This window comes from Homo sapiens, chromosome 1, assembly GCF_000001405.40.
Source record: "Homo sapiens chromosome 1, GRCh38.p14 Primary Assembly".
Lineage (NCBI taxonomy): Eukaryota > Metazoa > Chordata > Mammalia > Primates > Hominidae > Homo > Homo sapiens.
In genome coordinates, this window is record NC_000001.11 from 39,872,136 (window position 1) to 39,882,437 (window position 10,302).

Sequence of the window (10,302 nt, forward strand, 5' to 3'; positions counted from 1 at the left end):
TCTAGGCTCAAGCAATCTTCCCTCCTTGGCATCCCAAAGTGCTTGGATTAGAGGTGTGAACCACTGCAGCTGGCCACTGTATGCAAATTTTTTAAAATAACCAGAATATCTGGGAACCCAGGATAGACTACAGACTGTAACAAATGAAATCTAACTGCATTACAAACGTCTGATATAACCTCAGAGAGGAAAACAAAAGGAGCTGATCTAAGTAACTTCATAAAACAATGTTACTACTCGATACTGTAAGGATAAAAACAAACAAACAAACTGTAGGCAAACATTGTACTCTAGTTGGTAAATCTGTTTCTCACAGGAGTAATCACTGAAACTACAGGTTACACAAATAAGTAAATATACTATAGGGAATGAGAGCTAAATTTCTTACTCTGAGAAAGAAGTCACAAATAAGCAAGGGGGGAAGACTAGAATGAATCTTGTGGTGCTGGATTAGTCAGAGATACCAGTATAAACCCATGCTTATTTTAATATACATACAGATAGAGAAATAAATATAAATGTGTGTATATATAGATTAATATACATACATACATTTCCTAGCTCTTTCCACTGAAAGGGACTAGAAGCATCTTGTAATACCAGACAGGAAGTACTAAACACACACACACACACACACACACACACAGAGAGAGAGAGAAAGAGAGAGAAAGGAAGGAAGGGAGGGAGGGAGGGAGGGAAGAAGGGAAGAAGTGAGGGAGGGGAAGGAAAAGGAAGGAAAAGGAAGAAAGGAAGAAAACAAAAAGAAAGAAAGAAAAGAAAGACTCTGATGAATGCTAAAATCAGAGGGTGAAACTTTAAGGAGAAATAGGACATCTGCATAGCCTGAGGGTATCTCCCCTAAAATATTTATTAATTACTGTGGTGCTTTTAACATATGTCCGCAAATTATTTGATAAGCTTTCATCCTGGAAATGAAGCTTAATTCTCCTTCTATTCAGTGTGGGCCAGACTTGGCAAATGATTTCCAACAAATAAGACTAGGTACTGTCATTTTATGGAAATGGAAAAGAAAAATAACACAAAAAGAGAAAAATCGTGACTTTTTCAGTGGAGAAACGTGTATACAATCTCAACCAAATGATCAAAGTTACCATCACCAGTAATAAGCCATGCTAATACTATGTTGATATCATACTTTGATATGATCCAATGAGAAGGGTACTTCACTTCTGTGGTATACTTTCCCAAAATCCATAATGCCAAGTCTAATCATGAGAAACCAAAACCCAAATGGAGAGACATCTACAAAAGAGCTGACCAGTACCCTTCAAAAGTATCAAGGTCGTAAAAGACAAGGAAAGACTGAAAACTGTCAAAGATTGGAGGACACTAAAGATACATGATGACTAACTGCAGTATAGTATCCTAAATTGAATCCTGAAATGGAAAAGGGACATAAGTGAAAAAACTGGTGAAATCCAAGACTATAATTTAGTTAATAGTATTGTACCTATATCAATTTCTTAGTTTTAATAAATGTACCATGATGATGTAAGATATTAATATTAGGACAAGGTAGATGAAGGGTATACAGGAACTCTTGGTACTATCTTTGAAACTCTTGTGTAAATCTACAACTATTTCGGGCCAGGCACAGTGTCTCACACCTGTAATCCCAGCACTTTGGGAGGCAGAGACGGATGGATCACCTGAGGTCGGGAGTTCGAGACCAGCCTGACCCACATGGAGAAACCCCATCTCTACTAAAAATACAAAATTAGCTGGTTATGGTGGCGTATGCCTGTAGTCCCAGGAGGCTGGGGCAGGAGAATTGCTTGAACCCGGGGGATGGAGGCTGCAGTGAGCCGAGATCACACCATTGCACTCCAGCCTGGGCAACAAGAGCGAAACTCTGTCTCAAAAAAATAAAAATAAAAATAAAAATCTACAACTATTTCAAAATCAAAATTAAACCTGTAATCTCAGCTACTTGGAAGGTGAAGTGGGACGACTGCTTGAGCCCAGGAGTTTGAAACCAGCCTGGGTAACACAGTAAGACCGTGTCTCAATCAATCAATCAATAAAAAATTATAAAAACAATAATATAGGACAGTTTCTTAACTTTAGTACAATTAATATTTGGGGCCAAATAATTCTGTTATGGGAAGTTGTCCTGTGCCTACTAGAATGTTAGCAATGTCTCTGGCCTCTACCCATTAGATGCCAGGAACCCACCTCCCCAGTTATTAGAACCAAAAATGTCTCCAGGGATTGCCAAACGTCCCCTAGGAGGCCAAATCACCCCAAGTTGAGACTACTGATATAGCTATATACATTAACATATAAAGATATCCATAACATAGTGTTAAAAGAAAATAGAATAGTATCTAACCTCTGAGTCAATTTATGTAATAACATATACACACATGACACATGTGCTTAAATATATATACAAATGTCTGGAAGGATGTGAACCAAAATCATTACTCCAGGATGCTAAGACTATGGTTAAATTGTCTCTGTACTTTTCAGTATTATTGGATTTTTTTAATAAGCATGTCTCATTTTTCTTTTCTTTTTTTTTTTGAGATGGAGTTTCGCTCTTGTTGCCCAGGCTGGAGTGCAATGGCGTGATCTCGGCTCACTGCAACCTCCGCCTCCTGGGTTCAAGTGATTCTCCTGCCTTAGTCTCCTGAGTAGCTGAGATTACAGGCATGCACCACCATGCTTGACTAATTTTTTTGTATTTTTAGTGGAGATAGGGTTTCTCCATGTTGGTCAGGCTGGTCTCGAGCTCCTGACCTCAGGTGATCTGCCCGCCTCAGCCTCCCAAAGTGCTGGAATTATAGGCGTGAGCCACTGTGCCCGGCCCCCGCATGTCTCATTTTTCTGAACACAAAAATGCTTTGTTCTCATTTTTTTCATAGTGCTTCCAATTCAATAACCAAAATCCTGTTGGTTCTGTTTACAAAATATCAAAATGGTTACCTATTCTCTCCAGCCAAAGCCCAACTCCAGCCTCTCTCACCCAGACTAATGTAACAGAATCCTAAACTGTTTTTCCTTCTCTAACCCACTCTCCACCCAGTTACTTCATAAAATAGATTTACAGGCCAGGTGCAGTGGCTCACGCCTGTAATTCCAACCCTTTGGGAGCCCGAGGTGGGCAGATCACGAGGTCAGGAGTTCGAGACCAGCCTGACCAACATGGTGAAACCCTGTCTCTACCAAAAATACAAAAATTAGCCAGGCGTGGTGGCATGCGTCTGTAATCCCAGCTACTCAGGAGGCTAAGGCAGGAGACTTGCTTGAACCCGGGAGGTGGAGGTTGCAGTGAGCTGAGATTGCGCCACTGCACTCCAGCCTGGGTGACAGAGCGAGACTCTGTCTTGAAAAAAAAAAATAGACTTACTACCACTTCCCTCTTTAAAACCTCAAACCTCATGGCATGACTTTTGAGGGCCTCAAAAATTTGTTCCCAGGGTCTATATTTTTAGTTTTACCTCCTACCACTGTCCCTCAAGTACCCTCTATGCCAGATAGTTGCTGGTCATTCCTTGAAAACATACCATGCATTTTCTTAACTTTGCCCATACTGTTCTTTTGTCAGTAATATTATTCTTCCCACTTTTCTGCTTGATAAAATGTACACAGTGGTACAGAGGAAAAGAATGGGATGGAGGATGAATGAATAAATAAATAAGAGTTAGAGGAAAAAGTATAAAACAGCATGGAGATGAGGATTTAATAAAGTAATTTTTGGTAGGGAGGAGACAATAACAGCACCCACGGCAAAAGGCTACGGTAAGGATATTAGATAATATTTGTCAAACTTTTAGAACTGCCTGACATATATATTATTCTTGCTATTATCTTCAGTAGTATAATTATTATGATCATTCCTGTAATGAGGGCTTGAACTCTGACTGCCACAATGAGGGAGGTACAGGGAGGCTGCTACTCACAAGCAGAGCCCCAAAGGGATCAAGAGGCCAACAGGGTCCTGGTCTGATTCAAGTTTCTGAGGAATCCAAAACTACACAGAAAAACAAAACCAATTCCATTAAATCATAATGGAGCACATATGTGAATTCCTATATACCCCAAGTAACTTTTACTCCTCAAATATATCTTTTTGAAGTGGAGCTGCTTCAACACCCTGCCTCAGGCACTGAAACATCAGGGTAGCACTCATCCTCATGAATCTGAATCTGCAAGCCTCATCTGTGCTCTCCTATGGTTTCCTGTTTGGCCAGTAGTCACTTCTCCTTCCTTATATAACACAGATTTGACTCCAAAGTTCTCCCTGTAGGTGCAAAAACATGACCACATATGTACAACATACACAGCTTAATACTGCAGCCAAAAGAAAACTAAATTCACTTACAATGGAGGTGAACCAAGGGACCTAGAAACTCATTATTTATATGTGTATCTATCTATCTATCTATCTATCTATCTATATATATATATGAATGATGAGTCGAAAATTTTGAGATTTCCTTTTTAGCCTCTTGTAAGTCTCAGTCCTTCTAAAAGACTGCCTTTGGCTGGGTGCAGTGGCTCACGCTTGTAATCACAGCACTTTGAGAGGCCGAGGCTGGCGGATCACCTGAGGTCAGGAGATTGAGACCATCCTGGCTAACACGGTGAAACCCTGTCTCTACTAAAAATACAAAAAATTAGCCAGGCGTGGTGGCGGGCGCCTGTAGTCCCAGCTACTCAGGAGGCTGAGGCAGGAGAATGGCTAGAACTTGGGAGGCTTAGGTTGCAGTGGGCCGAGATGGAGTCACTGCACTCCAGCCTGGGTGACACAGCAAGACTCCATCTCAAAAAAAAAAAACAAAAAAAAAAGGACTGCCTTTGTCAGTTGTGGCAAATACCTTCCAGATAGACCCCTTTTCTCCTGGTTAATGGGTCTTCAAAAAAAAAAAAAAAAAAAAAAAAACAGGTCTTCAAGCCTTTTATTTCACATTTTATTAAGCCACTGTGATCCACCATCCCATCTCTCCTTTCATATCCCTCCCCCAAGCATCCCATATCTCCCTTGATCAGACAGTCTTTTGGTACAAACACTGCTCCTACAGTATGTCCCAAAGCAAACAAAAAGAATACAGAGGCCAGGTGGGGTAGCTCATGCCTGTAATCCTAGCACTTTGGGAGGCCAATGCAGGAGGATCACTTGGGGCCAAGAGTGTTCAAGATCAGCCTGGGCAACATGGTGCTTCTATTAAAAAAAAAAAAAAAAAAAAAAGAACAAAGAGCTCCACATCTATTGGATGACGAGATGACACATATTCTGCTTGCTTACTAGTCAGACTGCCAAAAATCATTTGTTTCTCCTCTTGTAGGTTTAAACAAACACAAAAGGAACTGTGCTCCTATGTACGGCTACTGCTTCTCCACAGGACTTGAAAAACTGAGGCATTAGAGACACTTCCTCTCTATAAACCCGAACAGAACACTTTGTTTCTTTTCTCTTAGCATATAGTTGGTAGTTTGTATTTCCAGGCCATCATTGTACATGTTTGGCAAGGGCCTTCAATTTTCTCAGTACAATGTTTCATCCAGTCACTGAAGGCCCGGCACTGTACCTTGAATTTACAAGCCAAGAAAAAGACTCAGACTGAAAAGAAGACCTTCGGTATCATCTTCCTGAAATACATCAGACTCTACAAATGAGTTAGAAGACCCAGATCCAATTCCCAGTGTCTTGCAGTGTGATCTCTAGACAGCTCTTTAATCTTCTGTAGCTCCAGTTTTTCCATCCTGGAAAACAGGGATTGTATTACCTGTCCCTCCTTGAATTCAGACTCTTACTACTGAATGAGAATATTTTTATTTCTATAATTTGTGAAACAACCAGCATTCAGAAGACTCAGAAAATAAAGCACAAATGTTGTTTCTCACTTCTGTCAGAATGGCCATGTAGAAATCCTCAGCAAAACCCAAGAGAAATCCCAAAGAAGGTAATCCCCTCAGAAAGTAGTTCTGACTTCCCAATCCACAACTACCTTGCATAAGAATCATGGAAGGGCATGTGTTTTCAGGACCTCCTGGGGCTGTGTCATAGAAAAAAAAAGAAAAAGAAAAAAGAACACTGGGAAGAAAGAGGACAGGCAGTACCTTCAGATGCTAGATGGCTACAGAAGCAAGTCACTGCATATCAGGCTACATGAAGAAATGATCACCATAGACACAATACCTTTAACAACCCCATTGTAGTTTTACCTCAAAGCTTAAAGTACTTATTCAATGTTTACAAAAACAAATACTTTCTCTGGATAGGAACTGCCCTGTAGGTGCTGTAGGGTTGACCTTGGGTAGGTGTTGCCTTGGATGACCCTACATTTTAAAGCAGGACAAAGGGATGACAAAAGCAGTATGAAGTACGAGACAATTTAACATTTAAGATAGTGTTGTACAATAGTTTCTGAGTTACTGGTACACTTCTGAATAGAAAATTTTCAGCAGCACACCAAAAGGAATTATTAAAATGCAAATATTGGTTTTAAAAAACCCAATTTAGAAACTTGAAAAAACTTTCTATGATCACACTTTCTATTTGGTCACCCTTTGGTGTGTTACAACAAAGAAGTTTACTGTTCTGTCTAGGCTCTCCACAAGTCCAAGTTTACCCTTTGTTCCAATAAACACTATCTGTCTTTGATACGAACTTGACATTAGATTCTATTAATATCTCTTAGCTGCAGCAAATTTTATCCCCAAAGTACATCAGGTGGCTTCCAGTCAGCTCAACACTCCACTTGACAGATATCACTATGAATTAACACTGTGATTTACAATATGAATCCTAAAATACATCTTTTTCCTGATCAAAATGTTGCACACTCCTAAGAAGGATAACTGGCATACAAGTTAAAAACTCCTGGCCTGGCGCAGTGGCTCATGCCTGTAATCTCAGCATTTTGGGAGGCCGAGGCTGGCGGATCCCGAGGTCAAGAGATCGAGACCATCCTAGCTAACACAGTGAAACCCCGTCTCTATTAAAAATACAAAAAATTAGCCAGGCGTGGTGGCACACGCTTATAGTCCCAGCTACTCGGGAGGCTGAGGCAGGAGAATCGCTTGAACATGGGAGGCAGAGGTTGCAGTGAGCCAAGATCATGAGCCTGGGTGACAGAGCGAGACTCCATCTTAAAACAAACAAACAAACAAACAAACAAAAAACTCCCTACTGATTGAACCCCACAGCCCCTGGTCATCTTAAAGGAAATGGCTTTGTGTAGCAGATATGCCACTGGGGATGGAAAGCAGACACTTTCATGTTCAGACTCCAGGTCTGCTACTTATTCTAAGACCTTAGGCCTATTTTCTTAACTGTGAAGTGATAATATCCATTTTATGAGACTATTGTGAGGATTTTAAATATATATATATATATATTTATCACCAGCACAGTGTTCCATGCCTATAGTCCCAGCTACTTGAGACAGGAGGACTGCTTGAACTCAGGAGTTCAAAGTTACAGCAGTGCCAGGCGCAGTGTCTCACACCTGTAATTCCAGCATTTTGGGAGGCCAAGGCAGGCGGATCACCTGAGGTCAGGAATTCCAGACCAGCCTGGCCAACATGGTGAAACCCCGACTCTACTAATAATACAAAATTAGCCAGGTGCAGTGGTACATGCCTGTAGTCCCAGCTACTAGGGAGGCTGAGGCAGGAGAATCACTTAACCTGGGAAGTGGAGGTTGCAGTGAGCCAAGATGGTGTCATTGCACTCCAGCCTGGGCCACAATAGCGAAACTCCATCTCAAAAAAAAAAAAAAAAAAAAAAGGTCAGGCATGGTGGCTCACACCTGTAATCCCAGCATTTTGGGAGGTTGAGGTGGGCGGATCACGAGGTCAAGAGATCAAGACCATCGTGGCCAACATGGTGAAACCCTGTCTCTACTAAAAATACAAAAATTAGCTGGGCCTGGTGGCATGTGCCTGTAGTCCTAGCTGCTCGGGAGGCTGAGGCAGGACAATCACTGGAATCCTGGAGGCGGAGGTTGCAGTGAGCTGAGACAGTGCCACTGTACTCCAGCCTAGTGACAGAGCAATACTCCGTCTCAAAACAACAACAACAACAACAAAAACAAAGTTATAGCAGTGAGCTATGATCACACCACTGCATTCCAGCCGGGGCAACAGAGCAAGACCTCAAATAAAAAAAAAAAAAAAAAAAAAAAAAGAAGAAACTGTAAACATTTGGTAAACAATGCTTTGAAAATTTGAGTTGTTGATATTTATTATTGCTTTGCCTGTGGAGTTACTTGAAATTGAAAATGTTATTTCAAGTAGCTGGTGATTCAACATCAACAATATCATTTTGTTTACATGTTTACCAAATACTAGTGAGTCAACCTCAAGTCACTGAAAAGCAGCATCTCCTTTCACTGGTTGAAAACACAAGTTGGGCCAGGCGCAGTGGCTCATGCCTGGAATCCCAGCACTTTGGGAGGCCAAGGCGGGCGGATCATGAGGTCAAGAGTTTGAGACTAGCCTGGCCAACATGATGAAACCCTATCTCTACTAAGAATACAAAAATTAGCCGAGCATGGTGGCGGGCGTCTGTAATTCCAGCTACTCGGGAGGCTGAGGCAGGAGAATTGCTTGAACCTGGGAGGCAGAGGGGGCAGTGAGCAGAGATTGCGCCACTGCACTCCAGCCTGGGCGACAGAGCAAGACTCCGTTTCAAAAAAAAAAAGAAAAGAAAAAAGATAGAAACATTTCTTTGGTACACAGCTATGAGTAACGAGACATAATAGCTACTATAGAGCTATATCCAACCCTCACTGCCAGAACCCAGTAACCTACTTAAAAACAGATGTAAGGCTGGGTGCAGTGCCTCACACCTGTAATCCTAGCACTTTGGGAGGCTGGAGCGGGTGGATCACCTGAGGTCAGGAGTTCGAGACCAGTCTGGCCAACATGGCGAAACTCCGTCTCTACTAAAAATACAAAACTTAGCTGGGTGTGGGACAGGTGCCTGTCCCTCACCCTAATCCCAGCTACTTGGGAGGCTGAGGCAGGAGAATCCTTGAACCCAGGAGGCAGAGGTTGCAGTGAGCCAAGATCGCGCCACTGCACTCCAGCCTGGGCAACAAGAGCGAAACTCTGTCTCCAAAAAAAAAAAAAAAAAAGAAGAAAGAAATGATAGAACATAAATATTGGCATGGACCTTAGGTGTCATCAGTGTAACTCCATCTTACTGAAACTCTTATTACTTAAGTCTCTGAGGTATCAGACCACAGATCTACTATTATACCATTCTTGGATATTTTTTATCCAAGTACCATACGTACTGCTCACAAATGAATGTTCCTTACACACTGCCTTCATCATGTTGCTCATCTCACATTCCATATCTGCAATTGAACAGTCTCCTTTTACTATCCTACCTACACACTATGGCCATTTCACCTTCTAAATCTTCATCTTCATTCATGTTCCTTTTTTTTTTTTAAGACTAGTCATGTACAGTAGTGAGAAAGGGCCAAAGAGTAGAAAAGGGAGTTCCATCTGTAACTGACTGTGAACAATCAACTGAGACAACTCAATACCTTTGGACCAGCTTCATGTTCTTTCCTTTAATAAGCTTTTTCTTCTTTCTTACCTATCCAAACTTGACCTATTTTTCAAGCCCTTTTTCAGAGAGCTTTCCATACTAAGCCAGCCTTCGATAATTTCTCCTGTCTCAGAAATTCTATAATACTTGTCATAAAATCTAGCATCTGTAGTCTCTCTCCTCCCATCATCTTGCAAATCCATTAATATCTCTGTCCAAACATTTATTAGCTCTGCCTTGTTTTATGTTCAGCTGGACTAAAACTCAAGGGCAGAAATTATGATTTTGTCTCTCCAGTAGGGCCTCGCAGAAGATAGCAGCTGCTGTATTTTTAGCTCTTATTATGTGCCATATATTGTATTAAGTACTGCACATACTTTATCTCATTTAATCATCACAATAATGTTGTGTTATTGATATTATTCTTCCTACTTTACAGAAGAAGAAACAAAGGCATGAAGAGGTTAGGCTATAGCTGCATATCTTGGAAAAGACAGCTGGGATTTGAGGTAAATTGTCTTCTGAAGCTGGCACAAAGTAGACTGCAAACAAATTATTTTTTGAATTATCCGATCGTTTCATGTGTGCTGATGGTCTTGTCATGCCACATAAACTAATGAAAGCAGAAACTATGCCCACTGGCTTCTGGGTGAGTTGGGGAAAGGAACTGCCCTTCTTTGCTGAGTACTCATCAGGTGCTATGTTCAGTGCCAGGCATTTCATGTTCAACATCTCATTTACTCTGTGAAGACTCATAACTGTAAATT

The 10,302-nt window shown here is 41.2% G+C and overlaps 1 protein-coding gene across 17 annotated transcripts in view; it reads right to left on the reverse strand.

The window, feature by feature from the left end:
- The window catches only part of TRIT1 (tRNA isopentenyltransferase 1), a 45,402-nt gene that overhangs the window by 34,026 nt on the left and 1,074 nt on the right, over positions 1–10,302 (reverse strand). The window lies entirely within an intron of this gene.